General features: G+C 42.1%; 1 protein-coding gene and 1 non-coding gene across 9 annotated transcripts in view, besides 1 other annotated feature; both read right to left on the bottom strand.

The window, feature by feature from the left end:
• The window catches only part of PAFAH1B1 (platelet activating factor acetylhydrolase 1b regulatory subunit 1), a 92,433-nt gene that overhangs the window by 24,037 nt on the left and 42,331 nt on the right, over positions 1–26,065 (bottom strand). For all 8 annotated transcript variants that reach the window (XM_017024701.2, XM_011523901.3, NM_000430.4 and 5 more), the window contains one exon: positions 23,259–23,480. In XM_017024701.2, the coding sequence (XP_016880190.1) occupies positions 23,259–23,290 (32 nt within the window). In that variant the 5' untranslated portion in view covers positions 23,291–23,480. The remainder of the gene's footprint in view (positions 1–23,258; positions 23,481–26,065) is intronic.
• Positions 2,035–2,536: an enhancer, noted in NCBI's record as "H3K4me1 hESC enhancer chr17:2562337-2562838 (GRCh37/hg19 assembly coordinates)". NCBI's record gives its function as "activates a minimal SCP1, AML or CMV promoter by ChIP-STARR-seq in naive H9 embryonic stem cells {active_cell/tissue: H9 hESC(naive)}" and the evidence as "EXISTENCE:reporter gene assay evidence [ECO:0000049][PMID:30033119]".
• LOC124904127 (small nucleolar RNA U13) lies at positions 5,797–5,900 on the bottom strand. The gene has a single exon (XR_007066004.1). It is a non-coding gene; the product is annotated as a small nucleolar RNA U13 (small nucleolar RNA).

The following is a 26,065-nucleotide window of genomic DNA, read 5'->3' as shown; positions in this document are numbered from 1 at the left end:
ACTATACTACAAGGCTACAGTAACCAAAACAGCATGCTACTGGTACCAAAACAGACACACAGACCAAGGGAACAGAACAGAGACCTCAGAAATAACACCACATATCTACAAACATCTGATCTTCAACAAACCTGACAAAAACAAGCAATGGGGAAAGGATTCCTTAATTAATAAATGGTGCTCAAAAAACTGGTTAGCCATATGCAGAAAACTGAAACTGGACCCCTTCCTTACACCTTATACAAAAAATAAGTCAAGATGGATTAAAGACTTACATGTAAAACCCAAAACCATAAAAATCCTAGAAGAAAACCTAGGCAATACCATTCAGGCATGGGCAAAGATTTCTTGATGAAAATGCCAAAAGCAACTGCATCAAAAGCTAAAATTGACAAGTGGGATCTAATTAAACTCAAGAGTTTCTGCACAGCAAAATAAACTATCATCAGAGTGAACATGCAACCTACAGAACGGGAAAAAAAAACCATCAAAAAGTGGGCAAAGGATATGAACAGACACTTCTCAAAAGAAGACATTTATGTGGCCAAAAAACATATGAAAAAAAGCTCAACATCACTGATCATTAGAGAAATGCAAATCAAAACCACAATGAGATACTATCTCACACCAGTCAGAATGGCGATTATTATAAAGTCAAGAAACGAAAGATGCTGGCAAGGCTGTGGAGAAATAGGAATGCTTTTACACGATTGGTGGGAATATAAATTAGTTCAACCATCATGGAAGATAGTGTGGTGATTCCTCAAGAATCTAGAAGCAGAAATACCATTTGACCCAGCAATCCCATTACTGGGTATATACCCAAAGGAATATAAATCATTTTGCTATAAAGACACATGCACACATGTTTACTGCAGCACTATTTACAACAGCAAAGACATGGAACCAACCCAAATGCCTATCAATGACAGACTGGATAAAGAAAATGTGGTACACATACACCATGGAATACTATGCAGCCATAAAAAGGAATGAGATCATGTCCTTTGTGGCGACATGGATGAAGCTAGAAGCCACCATCCTCAGCAGACTAACACAGGAACAGAAAACCAAGCACCGCATGCTCTCACGCATAACTGGGAGTTGAACAATGAGAACACATGGACCACAGGGAGGGGAACAACACACACCCGGGCCTGTTGGTGGGGGTGGGGGTTGAGGGGAGGGAGAGCATCAGGACAAATAGCTAATGCGTGTGGAGCTTAAAACCTAGGTGATGACTTGATAGGTGCAGCAAACCACCATGGCACACATTTACCTATGTAACAAACCTGCACATTCTGCACATGTATCCCGGAACTTAAAGTAAAATAAAAATTAAAAAAAAAAAAAGATACACTGAAAAGGCTAAGCTTGCATATTCAGGGCAGCAATGGAGATAACATGCATTCCTCTAAAAGGTCCAGGGGCCCAACAAATCTGAGATGTCTGCAGGGCTGTTGAAGGCTCTGGGAAGGTAACACAAAAGACCAGGCAGTATCAAGCATGACACCACCAGAAGCACACATGGAGTCATCCTTAGTACCCTCCTCCAAAAGACATCTCTCACACCACCCCGGGCTATACTGTTTTAGATAACAAGATGAAACTATATAGTCTTGGGAGAGAATGTGATTAAAATTTATTTCCAGGGCAGAGATATACAGGGGATCATTCCCTAAGCTGCAGCCACAGGATATCAATCAAGTCTCAAACAGGTAACAAGGCTTCCTAATTTTTTTTTGAAACGGAGTCTCACTCTGTCACCCAGGCTGGAGTGCAGTGGCATGATCTCGGCTCACTGAAGCCTGTTTCCTGAGTTCAAGTGATTCTCATGCCTCAGCCTCCTGAGTAGCTGGGATTACAGGTGAGCACCACCATGCCCAGCTAATTTTTTTTTTAATATTTTTAGTGGAGACGGGGTTTCACTGTGTTGGCTAGGCTGGTCTCAAACTCCTGGCCTCATGTGACCTGACTGCCTTGGCCTCCCAGTGCTGGGATTACAGTCATCAGCCACCACGCCCAGCCAAGGCTTCCTTTTTTTTTTTTTTTTTTTTTGGCGAGGCAGTCTCACTCTGTCGCCAGGCTGGAATGCAGTGGCACAATCTCAGCTCACCACAACCTCACGATTCTCCTGGCTCAGCCTCCCGAGTAGCTGGGACTACAGGCGTGTGCCACCATGCCCAGCTAATTTTTGCATTTTTAGCAGAGACGGGGTTTCACCATATTGGCAAGGATGGTCTCGATCTCTTGACCTTGTGATCCGCCCGCCTTGGCCTCCCAAAGTGCTGGGATAACAGGCGTGGGCCACTGTACCTGGCCTTTTTTTTTTTGAAACGGAGTCTTATTCTGTCATCCAGGCTGCAGTGTGGCAATCTCGGCTCACTGCAACCTCCCCCTCCTGGGTTCAAGCGATTCTCCTGCCTCAGCCTCCTGAGAAGCTGAGACTACAGGCACGTGCCATTAGGCCCAGCTAATTTTTGTATTTTTAGTAGAGACGGGGTTTTGCCATGTTGGCCAGGGTGGTCTTGAATTCATGATCTCAAGTGATTCGTCCACCTTGGCCCAAAGTGCTGGGATTACAGGTGTGAGCCACTGTGTCCAGCCAAGACTTCCTAAACTTTTATGCTACAATACCCTACTGACTCTTCAGGGAAAGGGCAGCACAGATGTGATGAGTTCCTGGCCATAGGTCTTATACTTCTCCAACCTCACGTACCCTAAGAAATCTGTCTGACAAATTGATTGCCATTACCATCCTTCACCATCACATTCTAAGATAACTACTTCCAAAAGGTAGTTCAGGATTTAACTACTACCAGTCTTAGGACAAGTACAAGTTCAGCAAGAGGTTATAATGAGACCTTATCCATGGCAGAGACAAAGTGAAGAAGAATGTAATTCAGGCAATGCAGGGTGAGTGGACCTTTATCTTCCCCATCAAGCAAAAAGAACCCTGTACCCAGTATACTAGCCTGCTCGATTCCATTTCTTTTCATCAGACGGCTGGGTCTCAGATGACATCCTGATATACCCTCCAGCCCACAGTTGCAACAAAAGCCAAAAATGATCTACCAGTTAAGTATATCACACTGCACTTTTTAAAAAGCAAAACCAAATAAATAAACAAAAAATATGCATTACTGTTCATTCTCGTATTTCGATTAAATTTCTTGAGTAATGGAAACACAAAACAGAGGGCAGTCACTAAACAGTTGTTTTCAGCCTCCACCCTTATTTATCTGTGTTTCCCTCTTTACCCTTTTAACCTGTTAAGAAAAATAACATTACTGAAAACTAAAATACTTAAAGGTCTAAGAGAGAAAGGGGGTTGGGGGAGAGGGAGAGAGAATGTCACACTAACCCAGCTGAACTCCTAATTATGTTGTTTTAAAGTTACTATATTATTGACTGACACTTAGAAAAAAACTGCATGGCCTGCTACAGGCCAGAGGTCAGCTACGTTTCCAGAGAGGAGGAGATTTTGCCTTAGTTGTTCAGCATAATTTACAACTGTGAGATCCACTCAGGATATATTCCTATAAAAATATTTTGCATTATTTCAAAAACTCATAAGGCAAAGTCAGGTTGTACAATAGGAAAGATACACAATACAACTGTCATGTATTGAATAGTTTGAAACATTTATATTTTTAAAATGTAAAGCAAAATTTCACTATAAAACATGTAAAGAAAAAAGGAAAGAGGAAGAAGGGATGAGTGCTTGTTATTTCCAGTTTTATACCAAGGAATATAAAAGAAGGTTAAGTTATATATGGTCCCTTGCCTCCTAGGATCTTGTAAACCTATCTGAGGAGCAAAATAAAAGCTACTGAAGTCTATGAAATTTAATTCAAAGACGAGAGAAATGAGACTGAATGGAAGAATCTTTTTATAAAGGCGAGATGCGAGGACTTAAAGGAAATAGTAAGTATTACCTAGGCAGGGAGCTGAGCTGGACCAAGTGAATCAGAATGGTACATTATGGAGATCTCAATGTTTACCTAAAAACATCTGATCAAATTCAACATTCTTGGCCAGGCGTGGTAGCTCACGCCTGTAATCCCACCACTTTGGGAGACTGAGGTGGGTGGATCACTTGAGGTCAGGAGTTTGAGACCAGCCTGGCCAACATGGTGAAACCTCAGCTCTACTAAAAATACAATATTAGCCGGGCACGGCGGTGGACACCTGTAATCCCAGCTACTTGGGAGGCTGAGGCAGGAGAATCACTTGAACCTGGGAGGTGGAGTATTGCAGTGAGCCAAGATGGCGCCACTGCCTTACAGCCTGGGTGACACAGTGAGACTCTTGTCTCAAAAAACAGAAACAAATTCAACATTCTTGATTTTTAAACATTCCTCATTAACGGAAAGGTCTTCATTAAGAATGTTCATTAACATCAGGAAAAAAGAAATCTCTCAAACCTTCAACCAATAAATCTAATAGTTAATGGCAGAACACTAGAAACACTTGTGTCAAAGAACAAGGCAAAGATGCTATAATCATTCCTATTACTTAAAACTGCTCTAGTGAAGCTGAGGCAGGAGAATGGCGTGAACCTGAGAGGCGCAGCTTGCAGTGGGCCCAGGCTGCGCCACTGCACTCCAGCCTGGGCTACAGAGCGAGACTCTGTCTCAAAAAAAAAACTGCTCTAAATCAGGTGGCATTAAAATAATGAGAGAAATGGCTAGAAACAGAAACAGACTATGTAGGACATTCAAGGCAAGAAAAAGCAATTGAATGAAAACAGTAATTTTAAAAGACCTATTTATCAGAAGTGTCAGAAGTATACAGGCAGATTACATGAAACAGCAAACTAAACAAAGGAAGACCACTGTATAGTAAGTCAAGCCCTAAAAAACAATGAAGATCCCTTAAAATCAGGTCATATTCATAATAGGCATCCCCAGAATTATCTGATTAAATATAGCTTCCAATTGTTGATGGAGCAGTTTTTACTCTGCACTGAAGAGCAGGATATTCAATTATCTACAATACTGCTAATAATGTATTTATATTTTTAGAATTAGGATAGGTCAAGTCATAGTATATGGTAGTCATTCACTGCCACCTGATGAATCATTTACTTGTCCCGGGCCCCTTTCCTCACTCTTTGAAAAAAAAAAAAGATGAGGTCTTGCTCTGTCACCCAAGCTGGAGTGCTGTGGCACAATCATGGCTCACTGCATCCTCAAGCTCCTGGGCTCAATGGATCCTCCTGCTTCAGCCTCCTGAGTAGCTGGAACTACAGGCACATGCCACCATGATGGGTTAATTTTTTTTTAAAGTAGAGATAGGGTCTCAATATGTTGTCTAGACTGGTCCTTTTTTCCCTTTTAAATAGCTAATTGTGGCCAGGCGCAGTGGCTCACGCCTGTAATCCCAGCACTTTGGGAGGCTGAGGCGGGCAGATCACGAGGTTAGGAGTTCGAGACCAGCCTGGCCAACATAGTGAAACCCCGTCTCTACTAAAAATACAAAAAAAATTAGCCGGGCGTGGTGGCAGATGTCTGTAGTCTCAGTCACTTGGGAGGCTGAAGCAGGAGAATCACTTGAACCCAGGGGCGGAGGTTGCAGTGAGCCGAGATCGTGCCACTGCACTCCAGCCTGGGTGACAGATGGAGACTCAGTCTCAAAACAAACAAAACAAAACGAAAACCACCTAATTGCATCCCATCCTTCAGCTGACCTCCAACTCCACACAGAAAATAGAAGCTACTCAGCATATAACTTTCTCAATGTAGTTTCCTGTATTTGTGGCACTGCTTTCCTCTTCTATTTTTTTTTTTTTCACATCGGTCGGGTAATGTGACGACATTGTAACAAGGCTGGAGGGTGGTACATCTTACACATGTGTGTGAACACCCTGTCGTCACACGTAGCAACTACAAAAGAATCTCCCTTCCTCTTCTGTGATGTGTTTTCTCTTTCTTGAGACAGGGTCTTGCCATGTCACCTAGGCTGGAGGGCTGTGGCACAATCTCAGCTTATTGCAACCTCTGCCTCCGGAGTAGCTGGGATTACCAGGCATGTGCCACCACACCCAGCTAATTTTTATATTTTTAGTGGAGACATGTTTTCTCCATGTTGGTCAGGCTGATGTTGAATTCCTGACTTCAGGTGATCCACCTGCTTCGGCCTCCCAAGGTGCTGGGATTACAGAAGTGAGCCACTGTGCCTGGCCTACGATGTGTCTTCTCTTTCTAATACAATTCTCTAGAATACCCTCCATCTTTCAGTGAAATGCAATGTGATGTGGTATGTAAAAGGGCTTTGTATGAATTCTCCAGAAAGTCAACAATTTTGACCTTGATCATATCTTGATCATCTTTATAGATGCCTACATTTCACTCTTATAAACACACACACACACACACACACACACACACACATATATGTATATATATATTTTTTAAATGATCAGCAATTTCATTCTGGAAATCAAAAATTTCCAAAGAATAAAAAAATCTAACACAAGCTGGGCATGGTGGCTCACACCTGTAATCCCAGCACTTTGAAAGGCCAATGCGGGAGGATTGTTTGAGCCCCAGAGTTATGAGCTATGATCATGCCATTGCACTACTCCAGCCTGAACCCTGTCTCTTTTAAAAAAAAAAAAAAGAAGAAAAAAAAAAGCCACGCAGGGTGGCTCACACCTGTAATTCCAGCACTTCGAGAGGCTGAGGCAGGCAGACTGCTTGAGCCCAGGAGTTCAAGACCAGCCTGGGCAACATGGCAAAAATCTGTCTCTATAAAAAATAGAAAAATTAGCTAGGCATGGTGGCACACACCTGTAGTCCCAACAACTTGGGAGGCTGAGGTGAGAGGATGGTTTGAGCCCGGGAGGCGGAGGCTGCAGTGAACTGAGATTGAGCCACTGCACTCCAGCCTCGGTAACAGAGCCAGACACTATCTCAAAAAACAAACAAAAACTAACACAAACTGAGAATATTTTAATCCTCCTCTGAAGACTCAGAGGGCCTTTTTAATTTTTTACCTTAAGGCAATAATTAGAAACAACCGTCACTGCATAGAAAGTGAAAATATAGACAATATGATTATAGATTCCATCATTATCAAACTTTTAAAGTTGAAAAGACAGACCGAGTGGAGTGGCTCATGCCTGTAATCCCAACACTTTGAGAGGCTGAGGCGGGCGATCACCTGAGGTCAGTTTGAGACCAGCCTGGCCAACATGGTGAAACTAAAAATACAAAAATTAGCTGGGAGTGATGGTGCGTGCCTGTAATCCCAGCTATTCAGGAGGTTGAGGCAGGAGAATTGATTGAACCTGGGAGACAGGGGTTGCAGTGAGCCAAGACAGCACCATTGCACTTCAGCCTAGGCGATAAGAGCAAAACTGTCTTTAAAAAAAAAAAAAAAAAGGTTTAAAAGACAACAGGGACCTCAACATGTAAGCTGGATAGAAGCAGCATATTAAATAGTTTATATTTAAATGTATAGTGACTGGCCGGGCATGGTGGCTCACGCCTGTAATCCCAGCACTTTTGGAGGCCGAGGCGGGTGTATCACCAGGTCAGGAGATTGAGACCATCCTGGCTAACATGGTGAAACCTGTTCCTACTAAAAATAGAAAAAATTAACCGGGCATGGTGGCACGCGCCTGTAATCCCAGCTACTTGGGAGGCTGAGGCAGGAGAATCACGTGAACCCAGGAGGTGGAGGTTGCAGTAAGCCGAGATTGCGCCACTGTACTCCAGCCTGGGCAACAGAGTATAAGACTCGGTTTCAAAAATAATAATAAATTTAAAAAATAAAAATAAAAAATGTATAGTTACTTTGACAATCAATGAAAATATATAGCTGTTTTTATAAATATAACCATCTGAAATTTAGATTATAGTTATAGTCTTATTTCAACCTTACTATCCAAATTCATTCGTGTACTTTGTTTTTGTTGCCCTATATTAACAAAATTCAAATTCACACAGGTAAACAGTGCAAACAGTCCCTGGATTTAAACAGCTCAACTTGCAGTCTCAGAGTATTCTTCAATTAAACTGAGCCAGAAGATTTAAAAAGGAGTGGAAAATACCTGTTTGAAAGCTGAGTCACTAACAAGATCTAAAAATTACTTTCATGCCTTATTATAGATCACAAAGTCAGGCAAAAAGTACCCAAATCTTTTTTTTTTTTAATACTTTTAAGTTCTAGGGTACATGTGCACAACGTGCAGGTTTGTTACATATGTATACATGTGCCATGTTGGTGTGCTGCACCCATTAACTCGTCATTTACATTAGGTATATCTCCTAATGCTATCCCTCCCCTCTCCCCTCACCTCACGACAGGCCCTGGTGTGTGATGTTCCCCTTCCTGTGTCCAGCTGTTCTCATTGTTCAATTCCCACCTATGAGTGAGAACATGTGGTGTTTGGTTTTTTGTCCCTGCAATAGTTTGCTGAGAATGATGGTTTCCAGCTTCATCCATGTCCCTATAAAGGGCACAAACTCATCCTTTTTTATGGCTGCATAGTATTCCACGATGTATATGTACCACATTTTCTTAATCCAGTCTATCGTTGTTGGACATCTGGGTTGGTTCCAAGTCTTTGCTATTGTGAACAGTGCCACAATAAACATATGTGTGCATGTGTCTTTATAGCAGCATGATTTATAATCCTTTGGGTATATATACCCAGTAATGGGATGGCTGGGTCAAATGATATTTCCAGTTCTAGATCCCTGAGGAATCGCCACACTGACTTCCATAACGGTTGAACTAGTTTACAGTCCCACCAACAGTGCAAAAGTGTTCCTATTTCTCCAAATCCTCTCCAGCACCTGTTGTTTCCTGACAAAAAGTACCCAATCTTAAACTAAGCCCTAGAACTATTTGGCATCTAACGCCACTACATGAACATGTGCAGCTATAGTACATTCCCATGTACAACGTGAAGTGCGCGGGCAGGTGCAGACCTTCAGTGTATTTCACACAGGCCAGGGAAAAACCGCTTTCCAATCAATGCCAAATATATATGATGTTCAAACAGATTCACAGGAGAAACCTCAGGACCTCAACTAACTGCAAAAGTCAGTTTTTTAAAGCAATAAAGTAAACAACAACAAAAATGCTTAAAAATATATCACAGTCATGAAAACACATGGAGAAATGTTTTTGGTTTTTGTTTTGTTTTGTTTGAGACGGAGTCTCGCTCTGCCGCCCAGGCTGGAGTGCAGTGGCGCGATCTTGGCTCACTGCAAGCTCCGCCTCCCGGGTTCACGCCATTCTCCTGCCTCAGCCTCCCGAGTAGCTGGGACTACAGGCACCCGCCACCACGCCCGGCCAATTTTTTTTTTTGTATTTTTAGTAGAGACGGGGTTTCACCGTGTTAGCCAGGATGGTCTCGATCTCCTGACCTCGTGATTTGCCCGCCTTGGCCTCCCAAAGTGTGGGATTACAGGCGTGAGCCACTGTGTCTGGCCTAGAAATGTTAAGTACATATTGTTAAGTCAAAGCAGCCAATCTGAAAAGGATACAAGCTATATAATTGTAATTTTCTGGAAAAGACAAAACTATGGTTAACAGTAAAAATATGAGGGGTTTAGGGAGGCAGGGAAGGATGAATAGGGGGAGGCTGAGATTTTTAGGGCAGTGAATTTATTCTGTATGACTGATGGATATATAACATTAGGCATTTGTCAAAACCAACAGAATATACAACAAAAAGAGTAAACCCTAATGTCAACTATGGACTTCAGTAATAATGTGTCAATGTTGGCTCATCAATTATAATAAATACACCACATAAATGTGAGATGTTAACAGTAGGGGAAACTGGGGAAAGGCAAAAAGGCATATGGCACCCTCTACCAAGTCACTCACTCCATTCCCAAATCAAAATTACTACGGAAAACACTTAAGGCTTTTTGGGAAAATAATTTAAGAGAAGCAAGGAGGTTTACAAAACAAAAAATTTAGGAGAATTTATTACCTCATATTGAAATGTATTTTTCTTTTTTTTTTTTTTGAGATGGAGTCTCACTCTGTTACCCAAGTTGGAGTGCAGTGGTGCAAGCTCGGCTCACTGCAGCCTCTACCTCCCAGGCTCAAGAGGTTCTCCTGCCTCAGCCTCCCAAAGTAGCTGGGATTTCAGGCAGGCACCACCATGCCCAGCTAATTTTTTTTTTTTTTTTTTTTTGTAGAGACGGGGTTTTGCCATGTTGGCCAGTCTGGTCTTGAACCCCTGACCTCAGGTGTTCCGCCTGCCTCAGTCTCCCAAAATGCTAGGATTACATACGTGAGCCACCGCACCCGGCCAAAATGTATTATTAATGTAAAGCTACAATAATCAAAAGAATGTTCTTCTGACTCCTGAAAGCACAGCAAGTCCAAAAACCAATGCAAGGTTTTATAAGAAGGTGTTTTCAGATCAATAAGGAAAGGGCTATTCAATAAATGTTTCGGCATGTGGATAATGACTCAGAAAAAGCACTTCGATCCCTTTCTTGCATAATCAACAAACATAAATTCCAGATGGCTTAGACATTACTATAAAAAGAAATGAAAACAAAAAGGTCTTAAGAAAGTAAAAGTGAATACTTATGTAGTCATGATTAGCGAAGGTCTTCCCAAATATGAATCTAAAGGTAGTATCAAGGAAAAGACAGTTTTCACTCTGTGACACTTCTCTGCAACACATGACCATGGGTGACTCAGTACCCTAAAGTCCTCTTAGGAATCGACAAGAAAAATGTAAACACTACAACAGAAAACACAACAAAACAAAAACGTAGCAACACCCCGAACAGGCACTTCACAGAGGAAGAGAATGGCATTATACACACACAAAAAAATGGTTAGAACTCACAATAATTTTAAAGAAAATATTTCTATAAATTGTGGGATTACTTTTATATACCCACATAAAATTTGATTTTTTCAATTAACTTCCTTTTTTTTTTTTTTTTTTTTTGAGACAGAGTCTTGCTCTGTCACCCAGGCTGGAGTGCAGTGGCGCAAGACCTCCCAGGATCCTCCCACTGAGGCCTCCCAGGTAGGTCCCAAGACTGCGCCGACATCCCTGTATTTTTTTTTTTTTTTTAGATGGAGTCTTGCTCTGTCACCCAGGCTGGAGTGCAGTGGTGCAGTCTCGGCTCACTGCAACCTCCAGCTCCCGGGTTCAAGTGATTCTCCTGTCTCAGCCTCCTGAGTAGCTGGGATTACAGGTGCACACCGCCACGTCTGGCTAATGTTCGTATTTTCAGTAGAGATGGGGTTTTGCCATGTTGTCCAAGCTGGTCTTGAACTCCTGACCTCAAGTGATCCACCCGCCTCGGCCTCCCAAAGTGTTGGGATTACAGGCGTGAGCCACTGCACCTGGCTGCCAGACTATTTTTTAAATCAATTTTTTGTAAAGATAAAATCTTGCACCTACGTTGCCCAGGCCGATCTCAAACTCCTTGGCCTCCCAAAGCGCAGGGATTCCAGGCCTAAGCCACAGTGCCTGGCCTGTTTTGAGGCCTTTCTTCACACAGAAGTTTTCTATTTTGATACAGTCAAACTTACCAGTCTTCCTTTTGTTTCTACATTTTATACCTTGAGGAAGTCCACCTCTACCCAAAGGGTATATTTTCTCTACCACTTTATACTGTTATTCTGTATGTGTTCAACATTAAGGCTTTTAATACCACCTTATCCCATGCTAAATTTCATAAATGGGCATGTCTTTGAACTTTGTTCCCCTAACCTATTTGTCTATTCCACATTTTACAATAATATTTGTATATCTGATAGATTCAGGTGCTTTCCCATTTATCATTTAAAATATTTTATTTATTTTTCTCTTCCAAATGATTTTTAAGATCAAGCTGGTCAAGTTAATGAGAAATTTAGTTTGAATTTTGATTGGGATTGCATTTAATTTTATTATTTTAAGAGTTGTGATATCTGTCCAATACTGACTTTTTCATCCAGAAACAAGGAAAATCTTTTCTACTATATTATCCAACAACAAGAACAGTTTATTATTTATTTATTTTGAGACGGAGTCTTACTGTTGCCCAGGCTGGAGTGCAGTGGCACGACATCCGCTCACTGCAACCTCCCCGCCTCCCAGGTTCAAGCGATCCTCCTGCCTCAGCCTCCCAAGTATGTGGGACTACAGGCGCGCACCACCACGGCTGGCTAGATTTTTGTATTTTTAGTAGAGATGGGGTTTCGTCATATTGGCCAGGCTGGTCTTGAACTCCTTATCTTAGGTGATTCACCCGCCTCGGCCTTCCAAAATGCTGGGATTAAAGGTGTGAGCCACTGCACCTGGCCAGGAAGAGTTTATTTTTGTATGCCATCTTGTTTCAGGTTACCATACTAAACCCATTAATTTTTTTTTTTTTTTTTTGAGACAGTCTTGCTTTGTTGCCCAGGCTGGAGTGCAGTGGCATGATCTCGCCTCACTGCAGCCTCTGCCTCCCAGTTTCAAGCAATCCTCCTGTCTCAGCCTCGACATCCCAAAGTGCTCGGGTTACAGGTGTGAGCCACCCCCACCTGGCCCTGAAACCATTAATTGTAATTGTTGATTCCCTTAGGTTGGCTCTGTAGATGCTGTCACCTATAAATGTTTGGCTGCTTCCTTTCCAATAGTTCTAATTCTTTCTGTTGCCTTACTACATGAGCTGGAATCTCAAATATATACTGAAATAGATGCAGAGACACAGGAACTCTTAGTTTCTTGCTGACTTTAATGGGAATGCACCTAGTATTTATATTTTAATGTTTGTTGTAAATTTCTGGTAGGTAGCCATAATCAAGTTAAGAAAATATCCTGTTATTTTCTACAGGGTTTTTTTTTTTTAACCATCAGGAATGGGTATTAAAAATACACCATTTTCTATATTTTGGGTTAATCATATGGTGTTTCACTTTTTTTTTTTTTTTTGAGACAGAGTCTCACTCTGTTGCCCAGCATGGAGTGCAATGGCACGATCTCAGGTCACTGCAACCTCTGCCCCCTGGGCTCATGAGAGTCTCCCACCTCAGCCTCCCAATTAGCTGGGGCTACAGGTGTGTGCCACCACACCCGGCTATTTTTTTGTATTTTTAGTAGGTATGGGGTTTCACCATGTTGGCCAGGCTGGTCTTGAACTCTTGACCTCAAGTGATCCACCCACTTTGGCTTCCCAAAGTGCTGGGATTACAGGTGTGAGCCACCATGCCCGGCCATAAATTTCTTAATGTTGAACCAACCTTGTAATCACGGGAAAAATTATACTTGGTGATAGGGTTTGGCTGTGTCCCCACCCAAACCTCATCTTGAATTGTAGGTCCCATAATCCCCACGTGTGGTGGGAGGGACCCGGTGGAAGGTAACTGGATCATGGTGGTGGTTCCCCCATGCTGTTCTCATGATAGTAAGCTCTCATGAGATCTAATGGCTTAATAAGGGGCTTCCCCCTTCACTCGTCTCTCATTCTTCTCCTTTCTGCCACTATGTGAAGGACGACGTGTGCTTCCCCTTCTGTCATTATTTTAACTTTCCTGAGGCCTGCCAGCCATGTTGAACTGTGAGTCAATTAAACCTCTTTCCTTTATTTATTTATTTATTTATTTATTTTGAGAGAGTCTCACTCTGTTGCCCAGACTGGAGTGCAGCGGCATGATCTCGGATCACTGCAAACTCTGCCTCCCGGGTTCACCCCATTCTCCTGCCTCAGCCTCCCGAGTAGCTGGAACTAAAGGCGCCCGCCACCATGCCCGGCTAATTTTTTGTATTTTTAGTAGAGACGGAGTTTCACTGTGTTAGCCAGGATGGTCTCAATCACCTGACCCCATGATCCACCCACCTCAGCCTCCCAAAGTGCTGGGATTACAGGCGTGAGCCACCTCGCCCGGCTGCCCTCTCTCCTTTATAAATTACCCTGTCTTGGGTATGTTTTTATTAGCAGCATGAGAGTGGATGAATACATTTGGCAATGAGCAATGTTTTTCATATCCGACTGGATTCCACTATTATATTATTTAGTATGTTTAATCTGAGTTCACAGAAATCATTAGACTGTAATCTTCTTGTTTTCCTTTTTGAGACAGGGTCTCACTCTGTCACCCAGGCTGGAATACAGTGGCATGATCTCAGCTCACTGCAATCTCTGCCTCTCAGGTTCAAGTGATTCTCACGCCTCAGCCTTCAAAATAGTAGCTGAGATTACAGGTGTGTGCCACCATGCCCAGCTAATTTTTGTATTTTTATTTTTCTGAGACAGTCTCACTCTGTCTCCCAGGCTGAAGTGCAGTGGCACGATCTCGGCTCACTGCAACCTCCACCTCAAGGGTTCAAGCAATTCTCGTGCCTCAGCTCGCACCTCCCTCACCGCCCCAAGTAGCTGGGACTACAGGTGTGCACCACGACGCCCAGCTAATTTTTGTATTTTTAGTAGAGAAGGGCTTTCTCCATGTTGGCCAGGTTGGCCTTGAACTCCTGACCTCAGGTGATCCACCTGCCTCAGCCTCCCAAAGTGCTGTGATTACAGGCATGAGCCACTGTGCCCAGCCAAATTTATTTTTAATAGAGACAGGGTTTTGCCATGTTGGCTAGGCTGGACTCAAGAGATCCACCCACCTCGGCCTCTCTGAGTGCTGGGGTTACAGGTGTGAGCCACCATGCCTGGCCTCACCCAGTGTTTCTACGAAGGTGGTGCCCACCTTATAAAATAAGCTCCTAAATTTACTACCTTTATGTCCCGGAAAAAGCAATGTAATCTGGGAAGCAAATGGTCCTTAAGATTTGAAAAAATTAGCATCTAGGCTTAAAAACTGCCTGGGCTTGAAATCTTTAATGTTACAATGTTCTCTATATTTAATGATCTATTCAAGTTTCCTACTATTTCTTGAACCAATGTTATCACATATTTTCCTAGAAAAAGCACCCAGGTCATTCAGATTTTCAAATTTATTTATTTATTTTATTATTTTTTGAGACAGAGTCTCACTCTGTTGCCCAGGCTGGAGTGCGCAACCTTGGCTCACTGCAACCTCCACCTCCCAGGTTCAAGCAATTCTCATGCCTCAGCTCCTGAGTAGTGGGGATTACAGGCATGTGCCACCACACCCGGCTAATTTTTGTATTTTTAGTAGAGATGGGGCTTCACCATGTTGGCCAGGCAGGTCTCAAACTCCTGACCTCAAGTGATCCACTGCGCCCAGCAGATTGTTTCAAACCTAATAGGATACCGTACTCTCATAAGTTTGAAAATCATCTGAGTTCATTTTATGTTGAATTTCTCATTCCTATAAAGTTCATTTATGTCTTTTCTCTTTATTAAATTGGTTATAAATTTTCTTAAATTGGTTTTATAAATTTTCTCTTTAAAAAACTGTCTATTTTACTGGTCTTTTTAAAAAGCTAGTTTTTGGTTTTATCAATTAAGTTTACTGGACTATTTTCTATTTTATTAAGGTCTGCTTTTATTTATTATTAATTCTTCCCCTTTCCTGCTTTCTTTAGACTTATTTTGTCGTTCTTATCCTTAAATTGAACACATAGTTCATTTTCTGTCATTTTTATAAAGATTCATTGAAGACTGTATTTTCTGTAGGCTATGTTGGCTGTATCTGATAGGTTTTTGTTATCAGTACCCTCATTATTACTGATGTCTTCAGCTCCTAAGTTTTATTTTAATCTCAACTCCTTAGCTATTTAGAAATATATATATATTTGGCCAGGCGTGGTGGCTCATGCCTGTAATCCTAGCACTTTGGGAGGTCCAGGCGGGTGGATCACGAGGTCAGGAGAGTGAGACCATCCTGGCTAACACAATGAAACCCCGTCTCTACTAAAAATACAAAAAAGTGGCCAGGCGTGGTGGCATGCGCCTGTAGTCCCAGCTACTCGGGAGGCTGAGGCAGGAGAACCCAAGAGGTGGAGGTTGCAGTGAGCTGAGATCGTGCCACTGCACTCCAGCCTGGGGGACAGAGCGAGACTCCGTCTAACAAAAAATATATATATATATATAAATATATATATTTTTGAGACAGGGTCTCCCTCTGTCCCCCAGGCTGGAGTGCAGTGGTGCGATCTCGGCTCACTGCAACCTCTGCCTCCCAGGTTCAAGTGATTCTTGTGCCTCAGCCTCCCGACTAGCTGGGATTACAGGCATGCGCTATCACGCCCAGCTAATTTTTGCATTTTTAGTAGAGGTGGGTTTCACCATGTTGGCCAGGTTGGTCTCCAACTCCTGACCTCAAGTGATCTGCCTCAGCCTCCCAAAGTGCTGGGATGACAGGCATGAGCCACTGCACCCGGCCCCAGATTTACATTTAAATCTTATTATAAGACAAATTTTCTTTGCTTGAAGAACACTTTTGTTTTTGTTTTTTGACAGGATCTTGCTCTGTTGCTGGAGTGGTGTGCAGTGACATGATCATGGCTCACTGCAGCCTCAATCTCCCAAGGTCAAGCAATCCTCTTGCCTCAGCCAGCTGAGTAGCCGGGATTACAGGTGCCTGCCACCACAACCGGCTAATTTTTGTATTTTTTGTAGAGACGGGGTTTCACCAGGTTGCCCACGCTGGTCTTGAACCTCTGTGCTCAAGCCATTCTCTCACTTCGGCCTCCCAAAATGCTGGGATTATAGGTGTGAGTCACCACACCTGGCCTGATGAACATTTTAAATTATTTATCTAAAGCTCTCTATAAATTTAGTCATCTGAAATTAGGTTCTCCTCTTTCACTTTATTTTTATTCAAATTAAAAGCTCTCTTTTGGGCCATAATATCATAATGCTTAAATACTTATCCTGATTATGAAGGTAGTGTGACTGCAGTGAGTTCATACAAAGCATCTGGAAGACAGATCTGAATTGACTCAGAAATAACAATGACTAAAAAAACACATATACCTCCAAATAATACAAAGGTACACATATGCAGGGTTATGTATTACAGTATTATTTGGAGTTACAAAATATTGAAAACTACCTAAATATACCAAACACGGGAGACTGGTTGAATACATTAAGGTATAAGTAGAGAACTAGGTACTACATATACAACTGTTTTATTTATTTATTTATTTTTTGAGATGGAGTCTCACTCTTGTTGCCCAGGCTGAAGTACAAGGGTGTGATCGCGGCTCACCGCAACCTCCGCCTCCCAAGTTCAAGTGATTCTCCTGCCTCAGCCTCCCGAGTAGCTGAGACTAGAGGCGCCCACCACCACGCCCGGCTCATTTTTTGTATTTTTAGTAGAGATGGGGTTTCACCATGTTAGCCAGGCTGGTCTTGGACTCCTGACCTAAGGTCATGCACCCGTCTCGGCCTCCCAAAGTGCTGGGATTACAGGCATGAGTCACTGTGCCCAGCCTACAACTGTTTTAAAAAGAAAAATAAGGAAAAACTTTATGAGCTTATATGGAAAAAGTTCCAGGAGATACTGGATTGGTAAGAAAAAAAAAAAAAAGAGCAAGAGAGGCTCAGTGGCTTGAGCCTGTAATCCCAGCAACTCGGGAGGCTTGGGCCCAAGAGTGAGACCACCGTGGGCAACATAGCAAGACTTCATCTTTACAAAAAAAATCTGTAAATAAAAAATTAGCCAGATGTGGTGGCGGGAGCCTGCAGTCCCAGCTGCTCAGAAGACTGACGTGGGAGGATCTCTTGAGCCCAGAAATTAAATGCTGCAGTGAGCTCTGACTGCGCCACTGTACTCCAGCCTGGGCGAAAGGGGTTGAATCTGTCTTTAACAACATCAAAAAGAGCCAGGTGTGGGCCGGGCACGGTGGCTCACGCCTGTAATCCCAACACTTTGGAAGGCCGAAGCAGGTGATCTGTTGAGGTCAGGAGCTTGAGACCAGCCTGGCCAACATGGTGAAATCCTGTCTCTACTAAAAATACAAAAAATTAGCGGGGTGTGGTGGTGCCTGCCTGTAACCCCAGCTACTCAGGAGGCTGAGACACAAGAATCACTTGAACCCAGGAGGCAGAGGTTGCAGGGAGCTGAGATCACCCCACTGCACTCCAGTCTGGGCAACAGAGAAAGCCTCTGTCTCCGGGGGAAGAGAAAAAAAAAAAAGCCAGGTGTGTTGGCTCACACTTGTAATCCCAGCACTTTGTGAGGCCTAGGTGCAAGCATCACCTGAGCCCAGAGGCAGCCTGGGCAACATAGTGAGACCATCTCTACAAAAACTAAAGAAAAATTAGCTGAGTGTGGCCAGGTGCAGTGGCTCATGCCTGTAATCCCAGCTATTAGGGGGGCAGAGGCAGGAGAATAGCTTGAGCCCAGGAGTTCGAGACCTGCCTGGGCAATATAGCGAGACCCCGTTCTCCACAAAAGGGGGAAAACAAAAAAGGCAAAGGAAAAAATTAGCTGAGCATGGTGGCATGGCATGCACCTGTAGTCCCAGCTACTCGGGAGGCTGAGGTGTAACAATCGCTTTAGCCCAGGAGGTCAAGGCTGCAGTGAGCCATGATCATGCCACTGCACTCCAGTCCAGACTGGAAGACAGAATGAGACTCTTGTCTCCAAAACAAAAAAACAAACAAAGAACATATACAGTATGCTACTTTTATTTAAGAAAGAGGGAGAAATAAGAAGATATATATCTATCTCATATTTTTAAAAACAATAAGCTTGGTTCCCTCAAGGGATGAAAGGAGTTGGGGGTAACATGGTGGAAGGGATTCAGAAGAGAGTAACACTTCTGGGTACATGTTTTTCTATAGATAATGGTTTATATATTAAAAAAATTAAAGATAGGACAGCGGGGAGTGAGGGGGAGGATGAAAACAAGCAAGATGAACCCAACTATATTTCAAATGAGTAATACCATCATGCAAAGAGGGAAAACAACAACAAAACAAATTCTAAGTAACCTATTAACACATTTGATGATCATGTCGTGGGCAGGACAGGCAGGAGCAGAGCTGCATGCGAATTCTCAATCCTTTCCCGGATGTCTGGTCTTCGTGGAAGTATGAGGGAAACAATTCTAAAACTATTTGAGAAGTAGAGGTTGAGTAGCTCTTATCTGAAATGCTTGGGATCAGAAGTATTTCAGATTTCGACATTTTTTCTAAATTATGGAATATTTGCATGTATCTAACGAGGTATCTCGGATATGAGACTCAACCAAGTCTAAACACGAAATTCATTTGTTTCATAAATGCCTTATACATACAGACTGAAGGCAATTTTATTTATTTTTTTCTGAACACTTATCCCCAAGTTCTAATGAAGGTAATTCTATACAAAATTTTAAATAACATTTGCAACTTGTCACATGGGGTCAGTCAGGTGTGGAACTGTCCACTTGTAGTGTCATGTTGGCACTCAAAAAGTTTCAGATTTTGAAGCATTTTGGATTTCTGGACTTGGGCTGCTCATCCTATATTACAGAATTGAGGAAGTGAATCAATCTATTGATATTATTGGGAGTCAGAGTTCTCACTATAGAAGAAGAGGGATACAAATAAATGGTATGAGAGAAGATAAAGAATTCTGTGGGGACAGACCAGAATTAGAAGCATCACTGTAGCCTAATGATTTCTAAAGTTAAGTATGTGGACATGTAGGTACTTATCAGTAGTTTTCAACTGGTGACACTGGCAATGTCTGGAGATAATTTTCTTTGTAGCATCTAGTGGGTGGAAGCCAGAGATGTTGCTAACAACCAAAACTATACAAGACTGACCCCACAATAAGGAATTATTTGGCCCAAAATGTCAATCGTGCCAAGACTGAGAAAACACTTGTATATGTGTATACTAGGGTGTCAGTATATGTATTTATACATGCATGTATTTTCTACCTCTGTCTACTTAAAGGGCCCAGAAACAAAGACATCCCAGTAATAATGCCCATACCTAGTGCCCGTATCTTGGTCTCTAATACATATCATGCGCCACTAAGAAGAACCAAAGCTTGTTGGAGAAAGAGCTGATTCTAGAATTAAGGCAGGATAGGTACACAGTAAACCCGGAACATCTTGTTATTCTAGAAAGTAAGGAAATAATCTCCCAAAATGATAGAAGCATACAAAAGCATCAACTGAGGGGGCTCTCATGGGCCAAATTTGGGACAATTCAAGTATGAAAACAGTGAGAATAGTAATGAATGATAAACTATGGAAAATATGAGAACTCATGAGTTCACACCAATAATGAAAAGACAGCCAGGTGTGGTGGCTCACATCTGTAATCCCAGCACTTTGGGAGGCCGAGGTGGGCGCATCACCTGAGGTCAGGAGTTCAAGACCAGCCTGGCCAACATGGTGAAACCCTGTCTCTACTAAAAATACAAAAATTAGCCAGGAGTGGTGGTGGGTGCCTGTAATCTCAGCTACTTGGGAGGCTGAGGCAGGAGAATCGCTTGAACCCGGGAGGCAGAGGTTGGAGTGAGCCAAAATCGCAGCACTGCACTCTGTGCACTCCAGCCTGGGTAATAGAGTGAGACTCCATCTCCCAAAAAAACAAAAACAAAAACAAAAGAAAAAAGACAAGTAAATAAAAAGAAGAAAAAGAAAGTCCCTTGCTTACAGCAAAATGATAAGTGCTGCCTGTAGTGTGGAATGAGTGGTGGTGAAAACCATCACTCTATAACCACTGTAGTAAAGATGGTTCAGGCGAGAATCAATAGACCTCAAATCCAGGAGGGAAATACTGATGGAAAACATGAATGTTTGCATGGTCTTAAAGTACTTCCCACTTATTTGTGGTAAAGAAAATGACAGTAACTACACAGTGAAAAAATCAATCATCTTGGTTGAGGATGAAAACTGAGGGGCAGATGACCATTATGTCTCTCTAAATCCAACTCTCTTAAGAAGAATACAAACTACTTATGTAGTATTCTGGCCAAGAATGCGTAACCTGAATCTCATCATGAGGAAACACTAGAAAAGTACAATATGAGCATTTTGGGAGGCTGAGGTGGACAGATCACCAGGTCAGGAGTTTGAGACCAGTCTGGCCGACACAGTGAAACCCCGCCTCTACTAAAAATACAAAAAATAAGCCGGGTGTGGTGGTGTGCGCCTGTAATTCCAGCTACTCGAGAGGCTGAGGCAGGAGAATAGTGTGAACCCAGGAAGTGGAGGTTGCAGTGAGCCGAGATCACACCATTGCACTCCAGCCCGAGTGACAGTGCGAGGCTCTGTCTCAAAAAAAAAAAAAAAAAAGGACAATATGAGAAATACTCTATTTTAAAACAAAGACTATTCCTCAAAAACATCAAGGTCAAAAAAAAAAAAAAAAGACAAAAGCTGAGGAACTGTTCCAGATTAAATGTGACTGAAGACACATGAGGGCTAAATGAAATACCTGATCCTGGATGGGATGATGTACGAGAGTAACAAAGTGCCACAAAGGACATTATGGAATCAACTGATAAAACTGGAATATGGAAGGTTAAATTTAATAAAACTGCTAGCTATACTATGGTTTTATAGAATATCCTTATTTTGGGGAACTACTTAAGTTTATTTGTGGGAAAAGGTATTTCTTTGATATATGCAACTTACTCTAACATGGTTTAAGAAAAACCTATTGCATACTGCACACACAGACCCCCAACACACAGAGTGCAAATGATAAAGCAAATGGTACAAAATGTTAACAATGGGTGTATTTCAAAAAACATTAGTATGCTTTGTGCTAATCTTGCAACTTTATAAATTTGAAATTACTTCCAAATAAAAATTGTTGAAAAGCCACAAAATTTTTTTTTTAATTGTAAAAATATAGAACATACTCATGCCTGTAATCCCAGCACTTTGGGAGGCCAAAGCAGGAGGATCACGAAGTCAGGAGTTAGAGACCAGCCTGGCAAAGATGGTGAAACCCTTTTCTCTACTAAAAATACAAAAATTAGCTGGGCGCAGTGGCAGGCGCCTGTAATCCCAGCTACTTGGGAGGCTGAGGCAAGAGAATTGGTTGAACCCTGGAAGCGGAGGTTGCAGTGAGCCGAGATTGCACCACTGCACTCCAGCCTGGGCGACAGAGCAAGACTCCATCTCAAAAAAAAAAAGAAGTAGAACATAAAGCTACATTTTCCCGTTTTGTTTTTATGTTTTTAAAGCTAGTCAGGTGAAGCGGGGGAGTGGAAAATCCCCCTATGTTCTTCACCTATAAAAATGGAATGCTATAAAATACTCTAAAACAGAAGAGGTCAAACCATTTCACACCTCTCTCATTAAAGCATCTGCATTAATTATTTTATTAGCTACCTCATAAAGTTCAAATTCTTCAAATTCTGTAATGGCCATTGGAAGATAAAAGAAACACAACAAGGCAAAGGAAAGACATCAGTGATAACAAGAACAAAACAGCTTTCATTTTTCTAATGCACAGATTCCACACCAAAAAAAGGTTTAGAGGAGCTATGAAGCACCTAACTTCCTATTGAACATAATATTTTAAAAGATAAGCTTAGGGGCCAGGCGCGGTGGCTCACGCCTGTAATCCCAGCACTTTGGGAGGCCGAGGCAGGCGGATCACGAGGTCAGGAGATTGAGACCATCCTGGCTAACACGGTGAAACCCCATCTCTACTAAAAATACAAAACTTAGCCAGGCGTGTTGACGGTCACCTGTAGTCTCAGCTACTCGGGAGGTTGAGGCAGAAGAATGGCGTGAACCCAGGAGGCAGAGCTTGCAGTGAGCCGAGATTGCGCCACTGCACTCCAGCCTGGGTGACAGAACGAGAGTCCATCTCAAAAATAAAAATAAAAATAAGCTTAGGGTAAAACTCATCCCAACTGACTTGTCTGTTTTGCGTTAAACTTACATACAGTCAAGTCACAAGGGTGAATAATGCTGTATCACGGCCGGGCAAAGTGGCTCATGCCTGTAATCCCAGCACTTTGGGAGGCCGAGGTGAGTGGATCACTTGAGGTCAGGAGTTCGAGACCAGCCTGGACAAGATGGTGAAAGCCCATCTCTACTAAAAATACAAAAATTAGCTAGGCATGGTAGCGGGTGCCTGTAATCCCAGCTACTTGGGAGGCTGAGGCAGAAGAATAGCTTGAACCTGGGAGGCGGAGGTTGAAGTGAGCCGAGATGGCGCCATTGCACTCCAGCCTGGGTGACAAAAGCGAAAAACTCCTTCTCAGAAAGAATAAATAAATTTTAAAAATAATGCTATATCATAATAAGACTGTTTTAAAATCAGACCAAACTGCCTAAACTAATATTGGAACACTGGTAAAAATAGTTTTAATCTTAGAAGAGACCTCCCAAAGCTGTATTTTAATTTACTACTTTCTCTCTCATGAGGGAGATTTTTTTTAAAGCACAAAACAAAGAAACTTACAGTTCATCTCGTTGTCTCTGGGACAGCACCATCTTGGCTGTAATGTCAAGCTTATCTGATATAGTGGTATGTCCCTCCTTTGGGAAATCAAAAAGCTTTTTGATCCGTGGACTTATAATTTAAATATGCCACTAAGTGTCTTCCACACAGGGGAAAATGATTCTTTCACAAATGAATCCAACTAGTAACCAGAAGATATTCAACAAGTAAGATTCATTCCACCTAAGGAGAAAGAGAAGAAAAAAAAAGATTATTTCACTTAAAATTTATTTCTAAATTATTAGTTACAGTACTCATTTTCAAAGATAAATTTTATTGTGATGTTAGTATAAATATTAGATGATGATTTTCCACTTATAGTGAAAGTCAACTAATGTCAAAAACCATACTGTTTTGTCTTTTAAATTAATAATTCAATGAGCCAAAACAGCATTACTTTTAAATTTAACATACATTTACCCACTCCCAATCATGTTAACCTGCCAGATACATTTGATTTCAAATATTAACATGTAACTCTAAACGAATGTAATTCTCTCTTAGAGACAAAAAGTAAAATTTCAAATTTACAAAAAAGGTATAAAAGGTAAAACAGATAAGGGTTTCATGAACTGCACAAGCCGAACAGTGCCAACTATAACTGAAGTAACCTTCAAGGTTGAGTGTTAGTCACCAATAACCTTAGAATGGCCGGTATTTATAACATACACTACTTAGCAATCTTACGCTTTTTATTGTTTTTTTGGAGACAGGTTCTCACACAGGTTGGAGTGCAGTGGCATGATCACAGCTTATTGCAGCCTTCCCCCTCTGGGCTTAAGCGATCCTCCCACCTCAGCTTCCCAAGCAGCTGGGACGACAGGCACACACCACCATGCCCAGCTAATTCTTAAATTTTTTTTTTGTAGAGACAGGTCTCCCTACATTGCTGGTCTCAAACTCCTGTATTCATGGGATCCTCCTGCCTCAGTCTCCCAAAGTGCTGGAATCTTATGCTCTCTTAACCAATGTACCTAATTAAGAAATGTATTTGAGATGGTCTTACTTAAAATAGAGGCTACTGGTATATATAAAATTTGATTGGAAGAGGCAATTCAAAGCAATAAAAAAATCATCCTCCAAATGATATGAAATTAACATATAATGAAGATCCTGTGGGACAACCAATCTAGAAACCTATCATGGACAGAAGAGTTAAGGACCATTTCCTGAGTACCTTTCAAATGCCATTCCAGTCACTGCTCCAGGCACTGAGAATACAGTAATGAATAAGCCAGTGAAGAAAGAAGAATGAGAGGCGGGGTGTGGTGGCTCACATATGTAATTAATCCTAGTACTTTGGGAGGTTAAGGCAAGAGGATCACTTGAGCCCAGGAGTTCAAGACCAGCCTGGGAAACACAGGAGACCCCGTCTCTACAGAAAATTTTAAAAATTAGGTAGGTGTGATGGTGCATGCTTACTTGAGAAGCTAAGGCAGGAGGAATGCTTGCTACCCAAGAGTTCAAGGTTATGGAAAGCTACGATCATGCCATTGCACTCCAGCCTAGGTGACAAAGCGAGACCCAATTTCTTTTAAAGGAAAAAAAAATGCATACCTTCGGGTTTCAAATATGAGCCCTGAGGCCAGGCGTGGTGGCTTATGTCTGCAAACCTAGCACTTTGGGAGGCTGAGGTGGGCAGACCACTTGAGGTGAGGAGTTTGCGACCAGCCTGGCCAACACGGTGAAATCTCGTCTCTACTAAAAATACAAAAATTTGCGAGAAATTGCTTGAACCTGGGAGACAGAGGTTGCAGTGAGCCAACATGCTACTGTACTCCAGTCTGGGCAACAGAGGAAGAGTCCGTCTCAAAAACAAACAAACGAAAAACGAACATGAGCCCTGAGTGAAAAAGTGACAGCTCAGGTGCTCGCTATGGCAACTGCTATTTCATTAGAGATCCTTATCTGAAGAACAATTCTAGTAAATATAAGCAGGAATTTATTTTATAATCCTTAAGGATTCTTCTGACCTGGAGCCCAGCTAACTACAAATGATAGCTGAAAGCCATCACTATCACTCCATCTAAATTCTGAGAAATATGGTTGGAATCAGTAAGAACTAGTGGAACTGGAACCAAACACAACAGACAAGCCAGTAAACCATACTTCTTTGGTACTTAACAACTCCCAATTATTCAAGTCTCACTTTTCTTCATACTGTTTCTTTTTTGAGATGGGGTCTTATTTTGTTGTCCAGGCTGGCGTACAGTGGCAGCATAATCATGGTTCATTGCAGCCTCAACCAAGCTGGGCTCAGCCTCTTGAGTAGCTAAGAATACAGGCATGTGCCACCAACCCCAGCTAATTTTTTTTTTTTTTTTTTTTGTATTTTTCTATTTTTGTAGAGACAGGGTTTTGCCACGTTGCCCAGGCTGGTCTCAAATTTCTGAACTGAAGCAATCCTCCTGGCTTGGCCTCCCAAAGTCCTAGGATTACAAGCATGAGCCACCATGCCTGGCTCAATTATATAGAGTGAAAACGAGGTAGGGCAAAACTCCCTGCTTTAATCAGAAAAAAACCCCCACTATATTATGTATATTACAGAGTCCAATTTAATTATAAACATATCTCTGCTAGCCAAAAAAGCAAATGAATGTACAAGAATAATGACAGTGTAGTACATGGTGGCTCATGCCTGTAATCCCAACACTTTGGGAGGCTGAGGTGGAAGGATTGCTTGAGCCCAGGAGTTTGAGACCAGCCTGGGAAACAAAGCGAGACCCTGTCTCTACAAGTAAAAAAAATTGGCAGGGCATGGTGGCACA

The sequence above is a fragment of the Homo sapiens genome, chromosome 17 (assembly GCF_000001405.40).
Source record: "Homo sapiens chromosome 17, GRCh38.p14 Primary Assembly".
NCBI lineage: Eukaryota > Metazoa > Chordata > Mammalia > Primates > Hominidae > Homo > Homo sapiens.
The sequence above is the reverse complement of the archived record's forward strand: the minus strand, read 5'-3'. Positions and strand labels throughout refer to the sequence as shown.